Source organism: Homo sapiens, chromosome 1 (assembly GCF_000001405.40).
Source record: "Homo sapiens chromosome 1, GRCh38.p14 Primary Assembly".
In the NCBI taxonomy this organism is placed as follows: Eukaryota; Metazoa; Chordata; class Mammalia; order Primates; family Hominidae; genus Homo; species Homo sapiens.
Window position 1 is genome coordinate 94,058,572 of NC_000001.11, and position 27,514 is coordinate 94,086,085.

Below are 27,514 nucleotides of genomic sequence, written 5' to 3' on the forward strand. Positions count from 1 at the left end.
GACTGCTCTGGAACTCCTGACCTGAAGTGATCCACCTGCCTCTGTCTCCCAAAGTATTAGGGTTACAGGCGTGAGCCACCACGCCCAGCCTGAAATCAATTTCTTATCCTTGCTCAAAACAAAGTCCCATAAACTTTTAGGACTTCTAGGACCACAAACTTCTAGGACTTTTCACTGACTTAAGCCAGAGGTGTAATTCACTCTGTGACCCTACAGTTTCACCAGCTGTGGCTTCCTCAGATGGCCACTTTTCTTTTTGTTTCTAATAGCTCGAGTAACAAAGGGACCTTCCCATTGTCCCTGCTTCCAGCTTCTTTCCTGTGTTGTTGAGGTGGGGAGGAAGAGACAAGGGAAAGGTGGGAGAGTCATTCAAAGGAAAACCCTGTTTTGGTATGGAAAGCCCTGTTTCCGTCATCACTGGAACAATGTTCTAGTTCCCACAAAGAGAAACCCTTTTGTGCATGAAACTCCTGGTGAACATTCTTTACCTCACATCGTAAAAGCTTTGAAGACCTAATGGCCCATTCTTAGGAGGGCAGATCTCAATGCTGCTTATCAACAAGCCAGGCAAAATCTCATGGCTGTTGCTAGTCAGATGTTTACACATTTTTACTCCTTTAATTCTGAGGACACAAACATGTTGGTACTGGGAAAAGAAGCAGACTGAGGGATGGGAAAGAACAAGGGAAACCTAGATAAGGACAAGGGGCTCAGCTCCTCCCCTCATCTCTTAGAACTTTGGTGCCCTTTGCAAATGTAAGCCCACATCCAGGTGGGGTCAGGTTGTTTGAGCAGAATGACCTCTACCTTAGCATTTGTCTTGTTAGGACTCTAGCACAGAGCATAACCAAGGCCACAGATCACTGGATCATGGAGCAACATTAAAAAGACAAAACCTTCAGATTTAGTACATTTTACCGTAAGGAGAAAGGGCAAGATTTGGCTTAACTGGAGATGTGTTGTTTGAACAGGATCTGATGGAACATTTGTGGATCAGGTGGGTACCAGATATGGGCCAGCATGGGATGGGAGACACTCAGCCAGTCTGTGGTCACTACACACACTGCCTAGTGTGGTACAGCACTTCCTATCATGATGGGGAAGAAGTAGAACAAGCTCAATCAGTCCATCTCAGGAGCCTGTAAAGCCTGAAGTCTAAAAATTATACCAAATTCCACCCAATAAAATATAAAAAATGACCTAAATTTATATCCTTATCATTTAACAAGTACAAACTATCATCTACGGTGGAGGAGCTAAAAATGAAGGATAGCAGCGCATTGCAAAATAATGTTTCATTTCCAAGTCTAGCTCTCAGAGGAGTTGCAAGTTTGCAGAGGACAGACCAATAGATGCTGCCTGTGGCTATAAAAACTCCTTATCACTGAGGAAGGATGGACTCCAAATTCCATCCTTTAAAAGAGAGAGAGGTGTTGGAGCTTTTTCAGGCAGCAGAATGTTTTTTGGTGAAGCCATGTAGGAGGTGACCATGATGATGATAAGTAAATAATCCAGATCTCCTCCCCTACTGCTACTGAAAAGGCAAAAGGCTTTCCCCATTTCAACTCTAGCCAGTAGTTAAAATTGTAAGCCCAGGAAAACACTCCCTGAACTGATTTTTTCTGTGTTTGGAAAGAGAAGACCACTTTAATTACACTATCACCCTGTGCAGGGCTCTGCTAATAGCAGCTTCTCCAGATGGTCACGGAATGGGACTGGGAAGTCTGTGTGGACCATGGACCCCTGGGCAGGAAGTGGGAGATGGGAGGATGCTGTGATACAGTGGCTCCTTCAGGAGATTTCGTCTCTTTGAGTGTCTCCCACGTTGGCTAAAAGGAAGGGCTGGGAAGCTAGATGTCACGCTCTCCTTGGTGGCCACATGACTAATCCAGGCACATGAACAGGAGGAAAGGGGAAAGGAACCAAAGTATTCAAGATTTTCTGGGCCTTCTCCATTTGGCTTACCATGATGAATATCGTCAGGAGGAAGATGCTCATCGACATGATGGAGAAGCTGTCCAGGAACCAGGTACACCAAATCACTGCATTGGAGACACCCTGATTTTTCAAGGTCTCCTTCAGTCGCAACTCCTTCTCCAAGACGATGCTCTTCACAGTCATGGAGACAGAGTAGATCCATGCCAGCACCATGAAGATAGGGAAACAGCGGTTCAGGATGATCATGAAACTAAAGCAAAAGGAGAGAAGCAGAATAGTAGAGTGCTCTGTACCTGGTAGAGGCAGAATAAATGTTTGTTGAATGAATGTGTTGAGAACAAAGCCCAGATGGAGGGAAAGGAAAACAGGAAAACCTCCCCTGGACATTTAATGGGCTGGAATCTTTTAACACATTCCATGTTAGCCCTGAAGCATTATTTTTTGTTTATAGCAGAGTGCTGGCTTTCTGGTTAGCCCGGGTGAATGCTCTGCAAGTAAAATGTGTCAATAAAATTATATCCTCTATGTCAAAGATCTTCCCTGTAAGGCCTTGCAAGGAAAAAACTGCAGACTTGATGATGTGGATGGGATCTGAGTAGACAGCTACATGCTGACACTGAAACCCAAGAGGGTGGAGGACTGACAAGGGCAAGTGGTGGTGGTAAGAGCAATAACTTGGCTCCCCAAGGGGTCAGCCGCCCCAGCACAGTCTGCCCTGGAAGGTCAAACCCTAGTTACACAAAAAGACACACAAAATAACTAATCAGTTTGGCACTTTCAGAAGGCGAATGATCCATCAATACATCAGTTATCCAACAGCCACTGGACCCACCACCAGCCATGCACAGGTGGAGGAGACCCTGGTATATCCACCTGGCAAACAGGATAGATTTGATACACTGGAACGACTTTCTTGTGAACTTTACACGTTTTCCCTGTGTTTCATGTGCTAGTAAAGCCCTTGGGATTATTATCTATTGAAAACTGTTGTGTGTTGTCACTGAAAGGGCCCAATTCCAGCATGGGAGGGTTTCACTCAAGGTGGCCCTAGGGAGAGAAGCATATGTTCGTAAAGCATGCACTTCTGGGACTAGCCACCAGAGGACTCTCCCATACCAAATGACCCAGCTCCCTATTGCCTCCCCACACCCACCTCACTTCCCCACCAGCCACTCCCGTCCTGATCCTAAAGTGGACCTGGGCTTTCGCCCCTGGCTCCATTTCCCAGCTCTGCCTATTGTCCGAACCCAAACTAACTGCAGACTGGCCACTGTTATCTCAAGTTTTCTGTAGAGCTGAGGCTGGAAAACCCATTGGACAGTTATTAAAAGAGGGTTTCCTGTGTCCACACTGAGTTTTAGGTGAACTCAATTGTAGATCTCTGCTGCTGTTTTGGTAGTGTGTCTGACCCCATCTATAATGACAAATGAGCCTCCCAACCCTCCACCCCGGCCCTTTCTCTACCACCCCCCAAATCCATATTCAGTCAAACAGTAGGCTGCTTGCTTGGCTTATTCCTGGTCAACAGATATACAGGCCTGGGATGGGAGTGTCCAGGGAGGCAGGTCCTGAGCTCATCCAACACATTCCTCTGCCTTGTCATTGAGCATACATCATGGAAATGTTAGTTAGGGAAGGGGCTGCATTATTCCAGGGCTCCCAGGAACCAGACCTACTGGCCATACAGAGTCCAAAATGAATGCTGATGTGGCAATCATTGGGCAAACATTCTGACCAGAACCCTTCCACATACCAAACATACTACATAGTGGGGAATTTGTCCCCTCCCCCAGCCTCACTTTCCTTGCTTTAATTTTCCCCTTCCCTTTTCCAGCTACAACATCAACTCTTTTCCCTTTCCCACCACTGCACTGACTCATCTGTGCCTGCCTGGAGCTTGGGAGAAGCAGGTTCCTCAGTCAGAGCTCCATGCTCTCCAATTTGGCTCTGGTCCCTGGGGCTCTCTCTAAAGACATGGAAGCCTTGAGGGCACCCCCAGCCCACCCCAGCCCACTCCAGCACCCCCATTAGCGTGTCATGGAGGAGGATCGCGAACTTCAGACTCACGAATCGTCCACGAAGCAGGGGTAGGGCATCTGCTGGAGGTAGATTCCAACTGGAGCCTCCGCCTGCACCTGGCTCCTTGTGATCCCCTGTTCAACCATGTCCTGCAGATAGGCAAACCCGCCCCAGATGTACCGGAAATCTTCCACGGGATCAGCTCTGGGACCAGAATCCCAATACCTGAGAAGACACAGAGGGACAAAGGATGGGAACGGGCTTGGATAGCTCACTCACACCTCCCGACCACAGGGTGACTCGGAACTCATTCTCTTAAAATCTTTCTCCTAAACGCTTCAAAAGGATCCAATTCTATTTCCTAGTCCTCAGTTTAAATCTCAGTTTTGAATATTAGCCACAATGTGACTCTGTAATTGCTTTCATTCAAGGACTCTTTGTTGAGCTTTATAAAATATCTTATTTTTTCTTATTTAACTTAATTTTATTGATTTATGAGTCCAGTCTCAATCCCTTTCTCTCTACCAAATGTAATTTCCCACTGACTTTGGAGAAATGCAGCGAGCCCTTCCTGAAACATCACCTGTCTTTAATCTTATTGGTTTTCTCCACCACGTCTATGTCCATTCGGATCTTATACTTCACGTGGGGTGGTAGAGAGCTGGTCCAGGGATACATGTCAGGGAATACCACTCCGGCCCAGAACATGTTTTCCTCCAGTAGAGAGAGGGCACGTTGGGTGAGCTGAGTTTCATCATTGTAGCTTTCAAACTTATCCAGGACCAAGCACTGCAGAGAGTCACAAAGTTGAGAGAGTGTGAGGAGGACCAACTGCAAAGACTCAACTCTACACACAGAAAGTCACAGGATAAGGGCTGCTGTCCCAGGAAATGGTCAAATGCAAGGAGGCCTATAAACTTAATGTTTGCTTAACTCCAGAGTCTGGTGTTAATTTTTCAACGTGTCCAGATGTAGGGGCGCCAGAGAGCTTGGAAGTGCTGACGTGCTCTTATCCCTGCAGAGCTAGTGAGGACCACACTTTCCAGATGTCCAAGGCTGTCCAAATATGCAAGTCTTCAAAATGACAAAAATACTCCAGGCTTTTACTCTCCAGCATGGGGAGGCGAGGGAGTGGGGTCACACTGGCTACAGCCTGCTTTGAAGATCAGAAAGCCTGACGATTAAAGAGCTTTAAAGAGAGAGAGAAACATTCCTAGCCTTGAACCTTTCTGGCTCTCTCCAAACACACAGGATGGCCAGCTGAGGGAAGAGCAAGGAGGAAGAGAGAAAATAACAGACAGCCAAAATAACTTAGTCAGGGAAATCACTTCCAATTACAATTCTGTGACAAGTAATGCTGGGGGAGGAGGAATTTCTATAATATGCCTCTTTTCTTCTCCTGGAAGAGGAAAAAAAAAAACCATTACCCACAAAAGAGCAGAACTAAGAATGTTTGAAAATTTGAATATGATGGTTGTCCTCCTGTATAGATTTGTTAAAGCACTTATATTGCTATTTGCATCTATTTCCTTTTCTTTAACCTCCTGTTCCTATCATTGTGAGGGCTATTGGTGTCGACATTTCTTTCTTAGCATGTAACTCACAAGAAGTCAGATGGTCTTGTCTTGATTAAGTTGTTCCCTGAATGCATACTGAGAATCTGCAATGTGCCAGAGCCTGGTCGACTCTAGGAATACAAGAAGGAAAGATAAACATCTCTTCCTGAAAGAAAGTTGAGAGCTAATGAGGGAGAGGATTGGAGCAAACCAACAACCATAATGTGGAAGGATCAGGTTCTAATGAAAGCAAGCCCAGTGTATTGGGGAAGCCCAGCGGAGGGACGCAGCTAAGTCTTCCTGGAGGGATCAGGGAAGGCTGCCTGGAGGAAGAGCCTCCTGAGTAGGAGGATAAGCAGGAATTAGCCGAGGAGAGGAAAGTGGGGGAAAGGTCAGCTCAGGCACAGGGAACAGCACATGAGGTATCTGGGGACCTACAAGAATAGATCAGTGGTTCCCATCTGTGGCTGTGCTTTAGAACCACTGCGGAGCTTTAAAAGATACCTATGCCAGGCCCTACCCCAAGCAATTAAATCAGAATCTCTAGTGGCAGGGCCAGGGCATCCATATCTTGTAAAAAACTCCCTAGGTAATTGCAAGGCACAGAAGGGAGTGTAGGGTGAAGGGAGGTGAGTGTGACAGCAGCACTAGAAAGGAGGGTGGGACCGGACGGTTTGCCCTGCGGGACTCAGTAGTATGAACGACCAATGCAGGGCTTCCCCGGACACGTGCTTTCAGTGCTAAGACCAGGGGAGTTCTGGGCAGGCCTTAAACAGCCACAGAAGCTAATGTAGGGTTTTGAGCTGGGATATCACCTATGGGATCAGACTATGATCACTGGTAGTGGAGAGGGGGGAAAGCAAGCAGGAAGACTGGGTTATTGATGTACTGCAGGCTTTAAGGAACAGATTCATCCCCACAAACTATCTGTGAGTTACCTGGAATCCTCATTTTACTGAAGAGGAAACTGAGCTTTATAAAGTATCTTATTTTTTTGAGGAGACCTGCCTGAGGTCACCCAGAGAGACAGTGGCAGAGCTGGGACTCCCTCCCCAATTTCACCTTCAGGCCTAGAGTTCTTCCTGCCACACCAGGAACCGTGGGAAAGGCTGGATCCACAGCCTGGCGCTCAGGGCCCTCACTACTATCTTGTCAAGTAGGTGGATCAGCAATTACTACTTATCCTCACTTGGCAGCCCCGGAACTTAGGTTCAACGAGTCTGAGTGACTCCCCCAGAGGCGTGGTAGAGTAGGTATCAAACCCCAGGTCATTTGATTCCACAACTACTACCCGAGAAATAAAGAAACGAGAAAGGCAGACAGGGCGTAAGGACCTGACCACAGAACCAAGCTCCACTGCACTGGGAAGAAGTAGGCAATCCCAATTCATTCGCCGAAACCTCTCACTCCCGAGTCCCACCTGCGCCTCAGAGTATGCACCGGAAGCCTCTGGCGATTCAGAGGCTGTGTTTGAACAAGGGGCTGCACACCCAACACTTCTTGGGCCTCCTGAACTAAACTGTCCCACCTCAGCCTCCATGCCCTGGGGGCAGGTCCCATGTAATGTTCTCAGTCTTCTAGATAAAAAGGAAGAAAACTATTAGTGTTCCAGCTGATATGGGCAGAGGAACACAGGTACATGAAAAATTCTAAAGGGCCCAGGCTTAAGTGACACCACGCTGATGAGATATTAATAATGATCTTAAAATGATATGGAATTGGTATTTCTTTGGGCCCAGGCTTCAGTGACACCATGCTAATGAGATATTAATAATTATGTTAAAAGGAAATGGAATTGGTATTTCTTTAAGAAATACCAGTATGTGTAGTCACCCACCATAGAGCTAAGGGAAATGGAGAATTTTCTTTAGGCAGTGATTCTCTCACAAACAGGCATTGCCTAGCCTAACATTGACCAGTCCTTAAATGAGATGTAGGACTTAAACAGGTCACACACCAAAAGTTGTCAATAAATGTTTGTTTCTTCTGGACAGAAATAATGCAAGGTTTGCTATTGGATAAATAGTTTGGGTCTGTTGAGGGTGGGGGTAGGTGGCATCTAATATGTAGACTGTTAGCACAGTCCCTGACCATGGGCCTGACACCCAGTGTTTGTCAGTACTTAACCCACCCAACCATGCTGCTTGAGGACAAAGGATTGACAGTGTGATGCTTGGGCCAGGGGGCTTCTGAACTGAACTGCTAGAATACATTTTTAAAATATGCATTTAAATTTGCTTTAGGGAGACCTCAATGTTGTACAAAGATAAGTAGTCAAATAATCTTTTTTTATTGGTTTGTCAAGTTTAGAACTGCATATAGAGAATTTTAGTATTGGCAATTAGAGTGAATCTGAAATTTAATTCCTAAAACGAAAAACAAAATTATTTGGGGAGATGAAAGTCTTTGCTCTTCATGTTGTGACACACACATAGAATGTTCTACCAGTTCACTCAGTCATGGGGCATTTGGACAGAGCCCTAGAGGGCTTGTGGTCTGATGTTCTTACTTGGCTGGTGAAGAAATTGGGATCAGAGGAGCAAAGGGCCTTGCCCAAGGTCAATCTAGGTCAGAAGCAGAGCCTGCATCCGTGTCTTCAGTGCTGAGCCTGCAGAGTGCCATGGTTCCCCTATCCTTGCTCTGAGGATAAGCCACACTCTAGCCACAAGCGGGGGTGTAACATCCCTGAACAAGAAGATCTTCTGCTCCAGAGCAGCATTGTTCAGTAGAACTTTCTGCAGTGATGGAATTGTTCTATATCTGCCCTGTCCAATATGGCAGGCAGGAGCCACAAATATCTATTGAACACTTAAAATGTGGCTAATGCATCTGAGGCATTGTGTTTTTACTTTTAATTAATTTAAATTTAAATAGCCCTGCGTGGCTGCTGGTTACTGTATTGGCCAGCACAGTTCCAAAGATAGTACATTCTTTGAGGCTGGGGCCGTGGCTTGTTCGCCGTGGTCTCTAGAATAGCATTTTGTCATGATAGGGCCTCGATATATGTTTACTGAGTTGAGTTGATTTGTGTATTTTGAATATAACTCTGCATCCTACCCTAGAATCACATGATAAACTAGGAGAAATTAATAAAACGTGAATTTTTGCTACAGTGCTAATGACAGTATACCTCTTAAAACAAAAAAGCTAGTAAAAATAAATATATTTTAGTAATATGACTCTCAGAGATATCTGGCCCATTCTCTTTGAACTCCCTTTTCATGTCTTAAGGGGAAATCTATACGGGAATAAGCAGCTGATGTTTTTCAGTGGCATTGCTGACTGCTGTGATGACGTGGGCTCCATCCTGGCTGGTTTATCAGGCAGCTGATTCATAGTCATGTTTCCTGATGCATCCCCCTACAATGATACCTTGATAATCTCTGGGGGAAAAAAAACTTAAAAGATTCTCAAACGTTCATTTACCCTAAAACATCTGACCCATTTTCAAAGGTGCTTTGTCTTCCTTGCCTTGCAAATTGGTGTAGCATAGTGTTTAAGAGTCTAACAGATCTGTTGCCATTTCCTAATTGTGTGGCTTCTGTTTCCCTACCTACAAAATTGAGATATGCCCTATCTCATAGGTTTGTTCTAAGGATCACATTAGACGCTGTTTGTGAAGGGCTTACAATTGCCTCCCTGTAGGAATAAAAGCAGATGCTTGCTGAAGGCTTACTATACGGCCAAAACTGGTCCAAGGACTTTACTCATATTCACCCATTTCATTCTCACAACAACCTTATGAGGTCCAAGTTCACTTAGGAGACACGACTAAGCAAAGTAAACCTCCTCTGGAAAGAGCCTGTGTTTTTAACCACTATGGTATACCAAACCGTCTCACAAATAGTTAGGATCTGATAAATACCATTTTTATGACTGTTTTTGCAAAATATCTTGAAAGTCAACAGACTTTTAAGCCCCAGCCAGGTTACCTTTTAGCCATGGCAGCTGTTTATCAGGGGAGGAAGGGAGCTATTTTCTTTAAATAATATGTCTGGGAACATATCCCATCCTGAGCTGATCCATAACACCTCATTTGGTTAGAACAATGCTATGGACAGATGCCAAAGCCCATGTCCCAGGTGGGCAGTAGGGGAGCTGAGAGGGCGTGGGGCCTCACACACTGATGCTTGCTAGCTGCTTGTTGATCACTAGGTGAAAGTCAGACAACTCTGCCCACAGGAAGGCCTTATAAAGCTAATCCCGAATGTCATCCTCCCCACATCTTCCCTAGATCAAGGTAGAGCAATTGTAGAAGCTGCTTTGGACATGAATCAGAAGTTCCTGGGTCACCCTCTGAAGTATGAGTCATGAGGTGGCCTTGCATTCTCATGGGGAAGCCACCTGCCATGCAGCAAGTGACCTCATTCCCTATTGGTACTTGCTTTGATCCCTGAAATCAAAATCTTGGCTAATGGACATGTATATTAGTGCACGTATGTACATAAGTACGTTTGGGAGACAGAGATGAATGAATAAACTCTCAGCAGAGGTTTTTGATTTTGATATATTTGGTCTGATTAGCTTGCAAGTTAGAATATAGTAGGTTCTATGAGGCTACGGCCATGGAGTCTATGTGTAAAAGCTGTCTGCTTCTACACTAAGAGTAACTATGCAATCATGAATGTTAGGGAAGAATGTAGGTAGACAAGAACTGGCTATTGTAAGGGGCCAGTGTAAGGTGCTCAAACCTAGCACCACTAGTGGGAAAAGGAGTCAAAGGGCATCTTTGCTGAATAAAAACACAGTGTCTTAAGGCCTCAGAGGCAGATTCTGGGCAAATGTTATAGCCGGAGCTCAGAATCTCAAAGAGAACCATTGTAATGCCCTATGACAGCCAATGACAATAAAGCAAGGAAAGGGCTTTCCTCCTCCCCTTTAGTTTCCTAACTGCTGTGGCTGAGCCCAAGTGGCAGGACCACCACCATTTGAAGTCCACACAAGTCCTACAGCTCTTTGTTGGTTGTTTTGCTGGCACTCACCAGGAAGCAGAGTTCACCCTGGCGGAAGAGGTTTGAGCCCTCTCCAGCGCAGGCAGCTGTGTTCAGGACCTCTGGAGAATGCAGTCATTTGTTTACACAGCTAAATCAAACACCTCCTTGGGAGGACAAGCTGCAGTAGCAGCAGGCTTCCTTCTTTAACTGTGACCTCTCTGTCTGTAATTCAAACACATTCAGTAACAGATACATTAAATTATCTGTTAGGTGGGAAATGATGTCCAGTAGAGGCAGAGAAAGAAAGAAAATCTTTCCTTTTGTTTAAACTTGATGATCAAAGTGGGGAGCAACCCTGTGCTGACGTGGCATAAGAGGACATATTTTGACGAATACATCCAGGACGTGCTAGGAGTGAGGTCTTCGAGGGTAAGGGAGCCACTGCCCGCTTAGAGATGTTGGCTGTATAATCCCGCCTCTCACATCTGTAACTCCTAAACTCAGGCTGAGAACAAAGCGGGCGATGAATGCCAGCGGAGGGCTCAAGTGGCCCTGCTGGTGTCAAGGTAGACACCTGGGGTTCCTTTTGAGAAATGCCAATGGATGTGGGCAAACATCCCAGAATGAGTTTCCTGGCTAATCTAAACAGTAACATTCAAGATTTATTTCCCACTACATGGAAAAATCCACTGGATAAAACAGCCTTGGGCTATCTGAATTGGTTGGAATGGTGAGTTAGAGGCCGAAGGCACTGCAATAAATTTTATCTTGCACGCTGGGCACCGCAAACAGACATCTGAAACGTTCACCCACAGAGAGTAAGGAAACACATGACGACTGGAAAACAAAGGGACAGGAAATGCACAGCTGTTAAAAAATGTCTGTCTCTAAAATAAACAACTTAAATACAATAATGAAACAAATAAAAAGATCAAGTTGGAGGACAAAGATTCACACTGGGGCAAAGCCACGAGGTAATGCCTGCGTCTAACTGGGTCCAAAGGAAGAGAATCACCTGGCTGACAACTGCAGGGCACTTGAGCTCTTAAAGTTTCTTGTTGAATCATCCCAACAACTTGGGCACATGGATGCTACTATATTCAAAACATCTGCTAATCAACAGAGCTGGGCACTGACCAATCAGACCACATTCTGGCCACAAACACCCATTTCAGCCACACCAGTGAATGCCACTTGAACTGCAGTTTGGGTTATCATCCTCAGTTTTCTGGCAGTAAAACAGCAAAGTTGCCTCCAATCACAGAGCCTATTGGTGCAAGAGATGGTGTCCTTTCACCTATAGGTGAAGCTTTTGCAAGCCGTGCCTGCTGACTCCAGGCACTACTTCTTCTCCCCTGATGCTGCAGCCACACCTCTGCCCAGCCCATCCATTTCTCTTGAGCTTCACATCTCTGCACTTTGCTTATGCCCTTCCTCCTGCCTGAAATTGTCTTTCTTCCTTGCTTAGCTGGAAAATTCAACCTTTACAGCCCAGAGAAGCATTTATGAGCGTCTATTCTATGTGACTACAGCTCCACTAAGGTAAGTTGGGAAGTCAAAAAGAAAAGTAAGGCAGTTTCGGCCCTTGAGGGGTTCAGGGCCATGAAGGTGCGGAGGCGTATAAACAAATCATGATCAAGGGCTACAGGGAAGGGAATGGTGCACAGAAGAAGGCCCGAAACATAGGACCTGAGTCCTGAAGCGTGGGTGTGGGTGTTGACCTGGCAGTCGAGTGGGGGAAGGATGGAAAGGCTCAGTGGTACCAGGTGGGAAGCCTGGGGCAGTCCCATAGAACATGGAAGAAGCATGAAGGGCTAGACTGGGAAGGCCTTTACCTTAACAGCAATGAGGAGTCACTGTGGAGCTGTGGGCGCTAAGTCTTGGCAAGCCTGGGATTTTAGAAAGATCTTGCTGGAAGCAGTTGAGAGCTGAACAGCAAGAGACTGGCGGCCTGGCAAACAGCTAAGAGAGACAGTACACGCTTCTGTAAATGGAGGCCATAAATGGGAAAGAAGGAGGAATTTCAGAGATAATTTGGAGGAAGAATTGACAGTGCTTAGAGGATTTATGATGTTTTGAATTGGATTTGTACAATCTGTTTCTACTCTGTCAGATTGAATTATGTTCTGCTAGTCCTCTGAGATACCACTATTATGGCATTATTTAATGACATGCTTATCTCTCCAATGTGAGCTTCCAAGGAATCAGGGATTAACAGCATTTATTCAAATGTAGGTAGCTCAATCCATGCAAATGCATGAATGACTGAATGAATTCACATCTTTTTGGTTTCCTACTCTAATCTAGCTACTTTCAAGCAGGAAAATCCAATCATAATAGTGCCTATTATGCTGCATATTATAAAATAATGTCTTCCTTCATTGGATTCATTATATAATTTATCCAGAGAATACTTTCTGAGCCCCCTATTAATGTGGGCTGCATATGACAGCAGAAAGAGCTTTCTCATCAGAGCCAGGCAGCTCTGGATTATAATTCCAGATCCCCCATTTAGCTGTTGTGTTACATTAGACTGTCAACCTCTTTGAGTCTGTTTTTAATTCTATAAAATGACAATTATGCTTACTAGGCAGGTAATTGGGAGTATTGCATGAGATGACATGTAACAGTGCCCAGCATGTGGCTGGCTCATAGCAGCTTCAATATCAGTCCACCCTATGAGCTCCATTGATTACTATTTGGACCTCCACCCATGACCCCGGTCTACCCCTTGCCCACATTTTCCTTCCTCAGGCCAGTTATATGTTTCTTAGAGACTAGAGGTATGAAATGAGGTCATTGCCTATGAGTTGCTTAGGATCTAGTTCATGGCTCTTGAAATAATATTGTTTGTGTGATGCAGACTTCTGTGCTCTTTCTCACGATCCCCTGATTTCTCCCTAGCCTTCCAATGCACATCTAGAGTCAATGAATTAATAGAAGAAAGAAATAGGACAGATAATTCACAAATATTTATATATCTGAGTCTAAAGTACATTACATGATCAGCAGCTTTATCTTCTTAATCCTATTTTTTCTTAGGTTATCCTGAAAAATACATTCCCTGCGTACATTCTGTTTGGGTGGTGGTGGCATGTGGCCAGGAACATGCAAGGTTACAGAGAAAAAATAGTCCAAATCTCTGGCCTTTGAGAATTCATCAGCAAGATAATCACCATGTAGACAATAAGGAGTTATGCACATGTATTGACTGTGTTGACAGCAGAGGAAAAAGCAGTTAATGAATGCATGTTTTTTCACAGCTTAGAGAAATACAGTGGTTACTGGTTAAAGTACAATTTTATGCCTTGATCAGAGGTATTTTCGTATTAAAATCTGGCTGAATTCAGCTTCCTATATCAGCTTCCTGATGTGAAATTCAAGACCTGAAAATCAAATATATTATGAAATGAAAATACACTGTGAACTCTGAATAGTATTTCATCTGTGCCAGGCCTAACCTTTTGCTAAACAAAAAATCCAAAGGGGAGGGGTGTGTATGCTTGTTTTAGCTGAAGGGCAATAAGAAGAATAATGTATTAATTTTTCTAATTGAGCTTTTCTCCAGAAGCAAAATATATGTGAATAAAGACACATATAAATTAGAACTATAAATGAATACACATACCAGTTTAAGATATTTGCCTGTATGAGGACCCATTTGTCCTGTGTCCTTAGATTTGGAGAAAAGGGTGATTGGAAGGCCCATGGGAATGAATGTCTCCCCATGAGTGATGTGAGGCTCCCCAAACCACCATCATCTATTTTCCTACTCCACTGCCTGCCTTCTAACTGGGCCGTCTGACTTCCATTTATTTCCCCCTGCTAATGGGAGGGGATCAGAGGAAAGACAGAATGTATTTATGGGGTGAATGAGATTGCAGACCCTATTGTGGAGGGGGTCTGAGACAGCAGACCATGGTCCACAGAAATGCCAGCATGGTGGTTAGGCCGCCCTCCTGGGAGGGGCCTGTACTCTCTGCTCAGAACCCCCAGGCAGGCCTTCAGCAGCCCAGTGAAGCAACATCCTTGCTTTCAGAGCCATCAGCAAAGAGTTTTCATGGCCTCTCTGCTACTAAGCCATCCTCAGGGTGGGGACATGAATGATTTTCAAGTCTCCTCCAGACTTCCCAAAACACGAGAACAGAAGCAGAAAAATCCAGGACAAGCCACAGTGATGTGTTTCTTCCTCACACATTTCCTCCCCGCTATCTTCTCCTTTCTGTTCATTGCCCCTTGCTTTCCTCCTCCCCCACCCCAAGGGCAGGAAGATCAGAAACCACATCATCACAGCTGCTGGGCTTCTGCTCCCATCATACCCCTCTGCTCAGAGGCCCTCGTGAAGTCCTGGCGGCCCCGGAGGATGTGATTTGCAGCGTTGTGATTCCTAGAGGAGCACCAGCTTGGAGGCTGGGCCTATTTACAGGAGGCACTAACATCATTTCCTCTCCTAAGCAGTGTTTTTTGGCTTGTATTTTGTTAAAAAGCTAATATTTATTAAGTGCTTACTATATGTCAGTGCTTTGCATGAATTAGCTCATTTAATTCTCATAACGAGCCTATTAGGTAAGTGCTATTAATATCCCTATTTTATAGACTTGGAAACTGGGCACAGATAATAGGAATTTGAACCCAGGCAGTGTGGGTCCAGAGACTGAATTCTTAACCATTTAAGCAATTAATATATTTTAAGTATCTGTTTGGTGCCTGGGGCTGCATTAGGAACAAGCTGCTTGGAAAAAATAATCCTTCTGGAAAACAAGACATTTATGTCACGATACGAATGTCAAGTAGACAAGGAGTATTCTTTATATACTTTGCAAAAACATTGTGAGAACCACTGAACTCCATGCTGCACAAATGAAGCAACAGAGCCTCTCTCCTCCGTCCACACCCCCTCGCACAGGTCCTGCTTATGTTATAACAGCAGTGGGTGGATGGTGGTGGGCCTGGCTGGGAATAAGGGCTTAGCAGGTAGAGGCACCATGAGAGGAGGGAGATGTTAATTGAGTAACTAACTGTACAAGGGAACTGCAGGTCCCACAAATCTAATAGGTCTGTAAACATGCAGATAACCAGGCCTCTTCCCTGGAAATTCTGAGCCAGTCGATCTGGGTTGATGCTTAAGAATCTGTTTTGTAAACAGACACATAGACCAATGGAACAGAACAGAGGCTTCAGAAATAGCACCACACATCTACAACCACCTGATCTTTGCCAAACCTGACACACACAAGCAATGGGGAAAGGATTCCCTATTTAATAAATGGTGTTGGGAAAACTGGCTAGCCATATGTAGAAAACTTAAACTGGATCCCTTCCTTACACCTTATACAAAAATTAACTCAAGCTGGATTAAAGACTTAAATGTAAAATCTAAAATCATGAAAACTAGAAGAAAGCCTAGGCAATACCACTCAGGACATACGCATGGGCAAAGACTTCATGACTAAAACACCAAAAGCAATTGCAACAAAAGCCAAAATTGAAAAATGGATCTAATTAGGCTAAAGAGCTTCTGCACAGCAAAAGAAACTATCATTAGCGTGAACAGGCAACCTGCAGAATGAGAGAAAATTTTTGTAATCTACCCATCTGACAAATGGGTATCTATCATCTCATGCCAGTCAGAATGGTGATTATTAAAATGTCAAGAAACAATAGATGCTGGTGAGGCTGTTGAGAAATAGGAAGGCTTTTACACTGTTGGTGGGAATGTAAATTAGTTCAACCATTGTGGAAGATAGTGTGATTCCTCAAGGATCTAGAACCAGAAATACAATTTGACCAGGCAATCCCATTACTGGGTATATAACCAAAGGAATATAAATCATTCTACTATAAAAATACATGCACATGTATGTTTACAATTGCAAAGACATGGAACCAATCCAAATGCCCATCAGTGATAGGCTGGATAAGGAAAATATGGTACATATACACCATAGAATACTATGCAGCCATAAAAAGGAATGAGATCATGTCCTTTGCAGGGACATGGAAGAAGCTGGAAGCCATCATCCTCAGCAAACTAACACAGGAACAGAAAACTAAACACCACATGTTCTCACTTGTAAGTGGAAGCTGAACAATGAGAACACATGGACACAGGGAGGGGAACATCACACACCGGAGCCTGTTGGGGTGGGGTAGGGGCGAGGCGAGGGAGAGCATTAGGACAAATAGCTAATGCATGTGGGGCTTAAAACCTAGATGATGGGTTGACAAGTGCAGCAAACCACCATGGCACACATATACCTATGTAACAAACCTACACATTCTGCACTTGTATCCCAGAACTTAAGGTAAAATAAAGAAAGAAAATCTAAAAATTAAAAAAAAAATCCTGTTTTATAAAATGCATTCAAGGTCATTCTTATCTTCAGACAAGTTGGTGATCGCTTAGTAGTTGCCTGCAGTTTGGTGCTGCTGTCATGACTGGCACCTTCTGAAAGGCCACTGGGGAGCCTCGGCTGCCACTTCCAGAGTTTGGAGAGCGAGGGTCACACACTCTGGAAAATTGTGGTGGCACCAGGGCAACAGAAAGTCCTCAAGAGCACCAGGTGACAGATAGAACGAGGCTTTTCTTCACTAGTTTGTTATCCTCAGGACTCACAAGTCTGAGACAAGAGGGCATGCTCCCGAGGGCCCTCGAGTTTATTCCCTCTCCTACTGCTCACAGAAGCCCCTACCTTCCAACAGTTCTAGATGACACAGACCCAGACCTGGCCCATGGGCAAGAGTGGTCCACCCTTAGATGGAGTCATTTACTGGGAGTATGAGGTTGAGAATTTGAAAATGACTGACATGTGCTCCCTGATTCTAAATAACTCCAGTTTAGCTGCCCAGCCAGAGATGGACATGTCAACAGCCAACTCTAATCTATCTGGGAGAGGGGTCTGAGAGAGGTGTGAAGAGAGGGCCAGGAAGCACAGAGGAGTGAATGACTAAACCTCCATCAAAGCAGAAGTGACATTTAAGAGCTGAGTGCTGAGTCTCAAAGAATGAATGAGTAGAAGCTCAGCAGATGAGGAAAGGGACAGTCATTTCAGGCATTGGTGGACATACACTTTTCTACCTTGTGTTTCTTCTTTTGGGGAAACATCTTCCTCCACTTCACAGTAATCCTGCTCATAGAAATGGCCCCATGGTGGGCAGCTGACCCAGGCCTCCCAATCAGAGTACACAGGGGTGGGTACAGGAGCCAGACCAACAGGGAAACTCTCTAGGAGCATTGCTTCTGCTATGGGAAAGGGATTTTTGGTGTATAGATGACTGCTAAGGGCTGTAAGCAGCTAGGGCATCAGCAGAGGAGAGGGCCTGGCCAGAGATGAAGCTGAGCAGAGGCGAGTAGAAAAGTGAGGTGGAAGGACACAGGGGTCTCATGGTGGCTTCCAACTCTTGGATCCTCCTGAACTTCATTATTTATGTCCACCAATAAATGCTTTCTTTTTGGTTAAGCAAAAAGCTTGTGACCAAAAGCGCTCTAATAAATGGGCAATGAAAACAGCATTTGCAAAGGGTAGAATCCCAAGAGGTCATGGAATGGGAATGCCTGTAGGCGTGAAAGGGCCAGGTAGCAGAGTTGAGCAAGGGCTGGGAAGGTGGGGTAGGACAGATTTGGAAGGGACCTGTGTTATTTGGGGGTCGAGTCATTAAGATTTTAAGTGAGAGAGCAACGTAAGCAGGTGTGCGGAATGTAACTCTGGTGCCAGTGTAGAGAAATGCCTGGGCCAACAGAGGCTGGACCCTGGATTCCAGGAAGGAAGCCCTTGGAATGGGCTGGCGCAGAGATGACAAGGCCTCTAGTCCTCAGAGAGCCTGGAATGCAAGAGGCAGAGTTGAGAGATATTTAGGAGGGAGAGGAGACAAAGCTTGGTAAGAGAAATCAGAAAGGCAGGCTCTGAACTCAGGCACCCCCAGAGCTGGATCCTGTTCGCTCCTCTTAATGGTCATGCGTGGGATCTTATTTAACCTCTTTAAGCCCTGGCTTCTCATCTGCAAATTGGCAATGATAATGGTGCAAGCCTCATGGAGCTGTGAGAATTAAATGAAGCATATGTGTGTAAAAGCAGTTGGCACAGTACTTGGCATAAAGTAACACTCAGTAAGTGACAGCTACTGTGTGGAGGGTGAAGAAGGAAAATTAGGGATGACCCTGAAATCCCTCACTTGAGAATTCGGGCAAATGCTGAGGACGTTAATTAGGATAGGAAATATAGGAGAAGGATATGTTCTATGGGCAAGGAGAACATACAGTTTTTGGAGGGGACATGTTGAGGCTGATGTGCTTGTAGAACTTGAGGGCAGGAGTGTCCAGCAAGCAATGGACTGTGGGGTTGAGGGGACACTGGCCATAGATGGCCACTCAAGCAATGTCAGACAGAAGAGGGTTGAGGACAGACACAGATGCTTAAAGGGGGCTACAGGAGGAGGTGCCCAGCATGAGAAGTAGGAGATGTGAAGAGGAAACCGTTTTCAGCATAGATAAGTTTTAAGTATGGATAAGCTGTTAGAGAATGAGAACTGTACAGGGGATGTAGGGATTCTTGTTTCTTCAGTGGGGAAAATGAAAGCTTAAATTCAAGACCACTTGACTTGCTAAGGGAGCTCTGGCCCCACTCATGGGGCTATCTTCAAGGGGCCCACTGTGGGGCTTGCAGCCCCTTACCTCCAGGTATTGATTGACCAGGCGGAGGGTGCGATCAGTGATGTTAAATATGTCCCTCCAGTCGAAGTTGGCCATGTCGTCAGCCTGGCTTTCCCGAGGGCCCTTGTAGAGGAAGTTTAGGATGGCTTCAGCAGTAATACCTTCTTCACCAAGCTGCCTATTCAAAAAGTCTTTTACTGTTGGGTTCCCCAGGGTATCCTTGGGAAGAAGAAATACAGTCACTGCTCTGCTTAGAAATTCCATAGGATCTTTGGTCTTGTTCTTCAGCCATTTCTAATTTTTAGTGATTGAGGATAGAGATGCTAAGGCTCCCTGAAGAGCTGGTGAGCTTGTTCCACTATGAAACATACCTATCTATATCCCATTTCCCCAAGTCCATGGGTCTCTAGAATAGAGGGAAGATGTGTAGGGGCAAAGGAGGGGCCAGATGGGGGTCATTGAATATGGTGTATAAAAAGCTTTCTTTTGCTTATGGATATTTTTGTTTTCTTTTGAGTGTCCCTGATATATAGAACTCTTGTCTTCATTTTGCAAAGCTGAAAATGAGACCAGACAAACACATTCCACCATCTTTGGAGTTACAGAGCTGGCCCCTTGGGGAGATGCCTCTTTGAATTTGAGGCCCTTGAGTGAATTCATAAAAGTAGGAAACTCCAGGAAGCCACTGGTCTTGTGGCAGCTTTTAGACTTCTCCCAGAATTCAAGAAACATATTTCTCATCCAAAGTCAGTGACCCCACTTGGTGACTGCTTGGAATGAAGGCCTTTGGGGCCTGCTTGTTGTATTTTGATCTAACTCCAATAGCGATTAACTCTTTCCTGGGAAAAGGAAACAAGTGGAACTTTCTTGCCCCCACCGCTTCCTCCTCCCCTCCCCTCCCCATCCTCCAACCCCCCTTACTCTGATCATGTTCATCTGTGTGCTGTTGTCAAAGAAGTACCAGATCTGGGGCCCTACTTCTTCCCAGGCTTTGACCAACTTCCTAACGTGTTCCAGTTCTTCAAAAGTTGAGTTGGCCTAAAACCAGACAGAGATCAAGACAGAGACACGAACAGAGAGAAAAGTGAGAGAGAACTTTTGGTTGTGTCTTTTCTGCCCCTATCACTTAGTGTTAGGGAAAGGCTTTTCAAGGAAGTGTTTTTATTTTCTCAGTCTATTGCTATTTCCCAGAACAATTCACCATCTCCCAACTTCCTGGGCTGACAGAATCTAATTTCTTAGTATCTCAGAAGTCCATGTAATATTGATGATATTATTTTCTCAGAACCTCCCTCGTTAAAGCTAGATTTGGACCCCCTGGGAGAAAATACCCTTCCTCCCTTCCTCCCTGTCTTTATCTGAGTAGCCAGGATTCAGAGAATTGTGAACCCTTCCATTAGGGATATAATTCAAGCAATGGGAAAGAAAACCTCATTGTAGGCTGCAGTAGAGAGGGGAGGGCCCAGGCAGGGGCACTGAAGCAAAGCATTCCAGTGATGACTGTGGATGGGGGAGGAAACGCAAGAGTCCACTTAGCAAAAAACAAACATGAGATGTGCTACCAGGAAGGCACATCTCTCTCACACACACACACACACACACACACTTCTGGGAGGTCCAGGGTACACAAGGCAAGCCCAGCTGGGATCTTACATTCTTCAGTATCCTTCGTGCTGCAGGTGAATCAGGAGTGTACAGGATTTTTCCCATCAGCAAAGGCTTTGCCGCCCTCCAAGCGATTTTGGTTAAAGGATTTGACTCCAGGCTCTGGATCAATGCATTACAAAAGGATGCTGCCAGGAGACAAGGGACAGATTTTACAGAAACTCCCCATTGCTTGTAACTCAATATAGTCATTAGTGTATCCACATCACATGTCTCATTCAACTCCATGCTGGAGGATTTGATGAATAACCTAAATTAATAGGCTGTACCCCACCAATAACAAGCTCATCATTAGTAGCAAAATGCCACAGTGACTCTCAGTAATGGCCTCATCAGAGAAACAAAGGATGCGACTTGCCCTGTGGTTTATTCTGCTTTAGGAGAAGGAGGCTGAGAAGCCTGCCTCTGATTACTGCTAGGAACTGAGGCCTTTCTCAGATGAAAGGGACTGAGAGGCCAAACAAGGCCCCCGCTTGGAATCTCAGCTTGAGCCTCAGTAATTTCCCTTCAATTAGCTGCTTAGCTGCTTTGTTGTGTGTAGCTATCTTAGAGTCCAACTACTTTTGGCATGTCCCTTGCTGCCTCTTTTCAGTTTTTAACTAGAGGGGCAGCCAGTTACATTTCTTCCCCACCCCATCCTCCTTTACCCCATAGAAGACCAAAAAAAAAAAAATAGTGAAAGGTGGGGAAGATGATTTGCCAGGAATTTGCCATTTGGAATGTAATTCAGTACTACACACATAGATTTTCACGATATTGTGTTTGTAAAAGCATCCCACAGCCGTGTTTACTTGCCAGGGCCCTTCTGACCTGAGCTTCACCTGGAACTCTGGGTTGCTTCCTTGCGGATCATTCTCTTCCTCTTGAACTTAGCCCTAGTTCAATTACATCAGTGGGAAATGGCCCCTCTGTTCCCTTTCCAAGTGGGCCTCAGTTCTTTCTGTGGTTCATGTCCAGAATTGCTTATAAGCAATGCCCCCTTTCTGCAAGGGGAAGTGGACTTTCTGGGAGAAGTCTCTTTACCTAAGGCCACTCAGCAAGACAAGACAGATGCAACCCCAGGTTTGGTTTCACCTAGAAGTGTTAAACCATCAACTTAACCAACATGAGAGGCCAATTTATAAGCAGGACTCAGAAAACTTACTTGTTCTTCTGTCATAAGAATAGATAGGATCCTTCCTTGTGGAGTCAATCCCCAGAAAGGCCTTATAGTTATTGTCTTCATACCAGTTGAAGGAGAGCACCCGAGAGCCACCTCCCTCGGGGTAGCCACACAGGAGGTCAGACAGGATGCCCATCAGCTTTGTAAAGGTCTCTGGACCACCATTCTGCATGAGGGGCCTGGTCACCCACAGCAAGTCCTGCATACTCGGCCGATGGATAAACTAGGGCAAGGCAAAGTCTTCAGGTTATTTTAAGGCAGCTAGAGTCATAATCTGCTGTGAGGCCAATGCTCCAACGTTTGGTTTGACTTCCACATTTAAAAGAAAACATCCATATATTCTCAGCAATCCTTAATCCAGCTGCGAAAAACAAAAAACAAAACCTACTGCCATCTACTTAGGGACTAGGAGAATACTAGGATGAGCCTTAAAGAAAATCACAGAGTGGCCGGGCGCAGTGGCTCATGCCTGTAATCCTAGCACTTTGGGAGGCCGAGGCGGGCGGATCACGAGGTCAGGAGATCGAGACCATCCTGGCGAACATGGTGAAACCCCGTCTCTATTAAAAATACAAAAAAATTAGCCGGACATGGTGGCGGGCCCCTGTACTCCCAGCTATTCGGGAGGCTGAGGCAGGAGAATGGCGTGAACCTGGGGGGCAGAGCTTACAGTGAGTAGACATCGTGCCACTGCACTCCAGCCTGGGCGACTGAGCAATACTCCGTCTCAAAACAACAACAACAACAACAACAAATCACAGAGTGACCCCTAGAGCACTGTAGTATAGCCTCTCTTCTTCTAGTCTCCTTTATTTGAATTCGTTGGGAATGTGTCCTTGGGCAAATGCAGAAAATATTTTACTGTTAAGCCAGTTCTTGGGTTCTGTTGTCCCACCAAGATGGGGATACTGGGGAGAAAAAGAGGGAAATAAAATGATTGGGGAATGATTCTGTTGTAGAAAAGCAAGATCAGAGCAAATTTCTTTGGCTAAATAGTCTAAAATTTAGTTTCTTATATTTGGAAAATAATCTTATTAGCTTAATTTTACCAATGAATTCTTCCATTTCCTTGAAATGTGTGGTTTGTGGTTTTCTCGTGTGTGTGTGCGTGTGTGTGTGCACGCCTGTGTGTGTCTGTGTGTGCGTTTTAAAATTCTAGCAAATACAGAACAGATGAAGTATCCATTCCTGGAAAAACACTTTTTCAATTCTGTGCCAGCTAAGAGGAGGTTGGTGGCCTTCTCTTCTCCATGTGGGCACCCTGTGGTGCTTGCTGGCCTCATCCTTTGAGGGTAGATCTGTAATGCCGAGAACTCAGGAGAAGGCTGGTGGAGCTGCCAGTAGCTTGGCTCCCATAATGCCATTTGGCTTTGCTTTAGGGGAAAATACGAAATTAAAATAATGCTGCTTTTATTCCTAAAACACACCTGATTACTTGCTTTGCTTTCAGTGGTACTGGGGAATTTATAAAACCATTAGGATTCAATCAGTGAGACTGAAAATATTTCCCCATTGCAATAAGCCATGTTTACGTGTCATCCCTCTCTTTGTCCACATGCCAACACTTGCCCTCTGAAACTGATGAGCCCAGGGAGAATCCACACAGTGAGTCATGCCTATAATCACCATCTATGCTTCAATAAAGTCAAAATCTCAAATTGCTTCAACAACAGTGAGTCTTATGACATCTTGTAAGGGGTTATTACTATTATTATGTTGCTCATTTAGTCAAAGCACTCAGAGATGAAGGGGCTGTTCTCAGGTCAAATGGTGTAATACCAATTCATATAAACTGGGCCTTCTGCTTTAACTTAGTTCACAAATGATTAGACTTGCTATCTAGACAGTCAAGAAGCCTTCTGGAACTTCTACTCAGAACTAAGAGTGTTGATATACTTTGGGGATTGTTTGTACATTCTCTATCAATTTCAACCTTATTGTAGTGATATAAATTTTTTTAATGCTATGAAGAAAAGACTGTTTAACAGAGACTCCCACTGTAGCAGGTGAGCATTAGTACAATGGGCTCTTCTCTAACTTTCCCACATCAGTGTGCATACTCGGCCCAGGTTGAGATGCGTTTTATAAAGACAGATTCCAACCATGCAGTTTTCCAGGTTGGTGGAGCCCAAGTCAGCTGCGAATAATGGAGGGAGAAAAGTTTGGAAAAAAACCTGTTTCAACTTTTCCCTCCCTTTCGTAACACTCATCACACTTGAAGAGAATTGTTTTTTTCCCATCTCTCTTTCCCACAGGGTCATGACCAAATCTGTGTGTTCATCATCATATCCCCAGCACCTCTTATCTATTGCGTGGAAGAATCCATTTCTATATGGGAGGAGACTTGTGCAATCAGATGTTAATTAAAATGTGCGCATCTTTTTACAAAACAACACAAAAGTCCATTGTTTTCTTTATGATGAAATAAGCCAACATAGGTAAAACACTTAGAAGAAGAGTGCCTGTAAGCTATAAAGGTGTATGCTATTATTATTGGCAGTATATATTTATGTGAATTTTAAGACTGTAACAGAATAATGAACCACCTCAGTACTGAAAAGACTTAGATTCAACTGTAAGTCTTCTGATGATTTATGCCACACCAGGCAAGTTGCTTATTGCCAGTGGCATTTCTTTTTTGATGTGAAATCAGAAGGGTGGTTCCTTTCTTTCTGCCTCTTACTTAAGAGCACAGATAATTTGGGATGTGAACAGGTGCTTTGAAATTGCTAGATGGAAAGATCAAATGTACTTTTCCTTGAACAGGTTTGAAATACAATTAAATTATTTGACATAAGTGGGGTAAATGGTGGAAAGACATAATGAAATTATAATTACTACCATCAGGCTACTCACCTCTTGAATTCTTGGTGACATATCAGATAATATTCCTCCCCAAGATCTCAGATTGATACCTTGAGAACGGCTGTCTAGGAGTGTGGGAAGCTGTAATTGACAGTAAAACAATTTTTTAAATATATATATGTTTGTAGGTATATACACACATAGGCACAGTCTGATCTCCTATATGTTTGAAAACTCCCCCCCTCCTTCTTTCTGATCGCAGGATCTTTTCTGCAAGATTACTTTTAGAAACAAAAAACTCTTTTATTTAATTGAAAAAATAAAGGCTCTCATTCCAAGACTCCTTGCTGCACTTGTCAATCACAGATAGTTTCATAGTTATATTAAATACTATCACTATTTCAAAGTGATTCTAATTGCTGTTTTAGTGACACCAAACAAGATTCCTGGAGGAAGGAAAACAGAGTGCAGCTGGCAGAGACTGAAGGAAGTGCTGCGGGCCTGGGGTGCCCATCTGTTCACCTCGGAGCTTTGTAGACACTGCAGTCTTCTCGTCATTGTTTACATCTTTCTTCCTTTGTGCCATTTTCAGACAGGTTGTGTCTCTTCCTCCATTCAACACTGCTCTCTCATGGAGGATTTGACCAGCTACATCACCTTTATTTTAAAGCAGCTGCTGGTAGGAGTCGGAGAAGTTCCCTTGCAGATTCTCCAATTGCCAGCAGTGTTCAGGAAACCCCAGCCCATGTGAACTCACCACTGCTCCTGCTTTTGCCACCTCGGCAGGGGATGTGGAAGTCCCCAGGTGTGCTGCCTCCAAGCTCCAGAGACTGATGTGAACATCTGGTTTTCTGGAAACCAAGGTCATGTCCTGTTTGACTTCATGCTTCATGTTTCAAAACTGATGGAATCACTGATCCTAGAGGAGTCATGTAGGACTGAGTTCTAAGTGTAAAGACAGTGGTTTTCCAACTCAAGTGTGCTTCCTGAGTAGGTGTGAAGTGAGCACTGGGCATGTGCCTTTTAACCAGCTGGACTTGTAATTCTCATCCAAGTATCTGGGGACCAAAAGCCTCTGCTTTTTATTTGCCAGCACAGTTCTCCTAAATGATCATTGGGCTGACCTAACTTGCATCAGTGCTGACAAACAGGTGGAGTTAGGCTTTGACCAGCCAGGTTCTCATTTGTAGCTGTGTGTCTTTGCCCCTCTCCTCTTGGCTGTAGATGCAGAGGTCCTTGTATTCTTTTTGACCCTGAAACTCTAGAATAAATGTAGGTACACTCAGGCAGCATTCATATTTCAGGCTTATTTTCTAATTGTGAAATAAAAGGCCTTGTTAGGTATGGGAGTTACAAAGCAGATGGGTAGAATTTTCCAGAGGAAAGAACAACTAAGCTGCTATTGACACCACATCACTGAGAAGCGTCTCCCCTCTTTGACCTGAGCACTGGACCGAGGCATTTGTCTTGCCGGGAGTACTCTTCAAACTCCTTCGAAATAGCTTCAGTGGGTGCTGGGCAAAGCACTTTAATTTCTGTTTTTTCCATACAAGGGTGGGGCTGAGAAGAAGAGTGGGTGTGAAGGGAGGAAGCAAGTAGGCAAAACTGTGTGTCGATAAGCAAGTTAGCCCCAAGTCCTGCCCGTCCTCCCTCCTGTCTCCCCTGAGATTATTAGAGATGAAAAGAGACCTGAGAGACATAGCAGTAAAATGGCCACAGGTGGATTTTGATTCTGATCTGAACAAACCAGCTGTAGCAATTGGGGGAAAGTGGACATGAAATGGGTATTAGGTATTATTAAGACATTATGATAAATTTTGTTGGGTATGATCATAGCATGGTGATTTTGTTAAAACAAGTTCTTACATGTTAGAGATACAGAGGGAAGTACATATGGTGAAATGATATGTTGTCTGTGATTTGCTTCAAAAAAACTTCAGGAAAAAAAGGTGGAGAACAGTTAAAACAAGAACAGCCAAATATTGATAATAGTTGAAGCTGGGTGATAGATCCATGGGAGCTCATTTTATTATTCACTCTACTTTCATACTTTTTTCCTACAATAAAACGTTTTAATAATAAAAAAGGTTTTAGTGTATATGCAAAAATAAATTGTCGAATGAGCAAATACTAAGGAAGTATCCTATCTGTTTTGTTCTTCCTCTCTAGGACTACCTTTGTTCACTTCCCTTCTAGAATATTTCATCAAAATAGGCATAGAAAAAGGACTGGCCTTCTTGCCAGTCCCCTTGCCTCTAGCCCCCTCCCTTCCAATGCATTGTGGTCTGAGTTACCCAACAGGCCAATCCAGTCATGTCGCTTTCCCTGCTCAAACATCTTCCATGGCTCCCTACTGTCTCCAGAAGAGAAGGCCATTACTACGTTTTGACACACATGACCTCTGTGAGCTGGTGCCTGGCTCCCTCACTTGCCTTCTCTCCTGCTTCTCTGCTGCCACAGTGGACTTCTTTTTATGTCTGCTCACACGTCAGCTGTCTCCTGCCCCTAGCTCTGCTCTCTATTCCCCCCCATTCCTTCTTTGCCTGGCAAACTTCTACTCATCCCTCAAGTCTCATTCCTAACATGATGACCTATGTGAGAAACAGCTTCCTCCCAAGTAGATTTAGATGCCCCTTTTTCTATGCCTCTTGCTCACCCCTGCCCAGCCACGCTCTCTTTAGGAGTTCTGTTTCCTTCCTTGTGCTCTTCACCATTGGTAATTATTCTGGTGTTTACTTGTCATCTATCTCCCCTGTAAGACTCTATGCTCCATGTAGACAGAAAT

General features: G+C 44.5%; 1 protein-coding gene and 1 long non-coding RNA gene across 3 annotated transcripts in view, besides 3 other annotated features; one reads left to right on the forward strand and one right to left on the reverse strand.

Annotated features, from left to right (window-relative positions):
- Positions 1-27,514, reverse strand: part of ABCA4 (ATP binding cassette subfamily A member 4) — a 128,315-nt gene that overhangs the window by 65,738 nt on the left and 35,063 nt on the right. For both annotated transcript variants that reach the window (NM_001425324.1, NM_000350.3), the window contains exons 7-14: positions 24,781-24,870; positions 21,907-22,147; positions 20,751-20,890; positions 20,019-20,135; positions 19,119-19,316; positions 4,541-4,746; positions 4,006-4,182; positions 1,966-2,188 (exon numbers count right to left, since the gene is read on the reverse strand). In NM_001425324.1, coding sequence (NP_001412253.1) covers positions 1,966-2,188; positions 4,006-4,182; positions 4,541-4,746; positions 19,119-19,316; positions 20,019-20,135; positions 20,751-20,890; positions 21,907-22,147; positions 24,781-24,870 — 1,392 coding nt within the window. The remainder of the gene's footprint in view (positions 1-1,965; positions 2,189-4,005; positions 4,183-4,540; positions 4,747-19,118; positions 19,317-20,018; positions 20,136-20,750; positions 20,891-21,906; positions 22,148-24,780; positions 24,871-27,514) is intronic.
- Positions 9,295-10,494: an enhancer, noted in NCBI's record as "BRD4-independent group 4 enhancer chr1:94533422-94534621 (GRCh37/hg19 assembly coordinates)". NCBI's record gives its function as "activates an origin of replication core promoter dependent on BRD2, P300/CBP, MED14 and CDK7 cofactors, and independent of BRD4, by STARR-seq in HCT116 cells {active_cell/tissue: HCT116}" and the evidence as "EXISTENCE:reporter gene assay evidence [ECO:0000049][PMID:35650434]".
- Positions 10,685-11,242: an enhancer, noted in NCBI's record as "OCT4-NANOG hESC enhancer chr1:94534812-94535369 (GRCh37/hg19 assembly coordinates)". NCBI's record gives its function as "activates a minimal SCP1, AML or CMV promoter by ChIP-STARR-seq in naive H9 embryonic stem cells {active_cell/tissue: H9 hESC(naive)}" and the evidence as "EXISTENCE:reporter gene assay evidence [ECO:0000049][PMID:30033119]".
- LOC124904222 (uncharacterized) lies at positions 11,788-26,863 on the forward strand. The gene is made up of 2 exons (XR_007066231.1): positions 11,788-11,989; positions 25,158-26,863. It is a non-coding gene; the product is annotated as an uncharacterized LOC124904222 (long non-coding RNA).
- Positions 13,442-13,736: a silencer, noted in NCBI's record as "tiled region #14437; K562 Repressive non-DNase unmatched - State 22:ReprW". NCBI's record gives its function as "represses a minimal TATA promoter and a strong SV40 promoter by Sharpr-MPRA in K562 cells {active_cell/tissue: K562}" and the evidence as "EXISTENCE:reporter gene assay evidence [ECO:0000049][PMID:27701403]".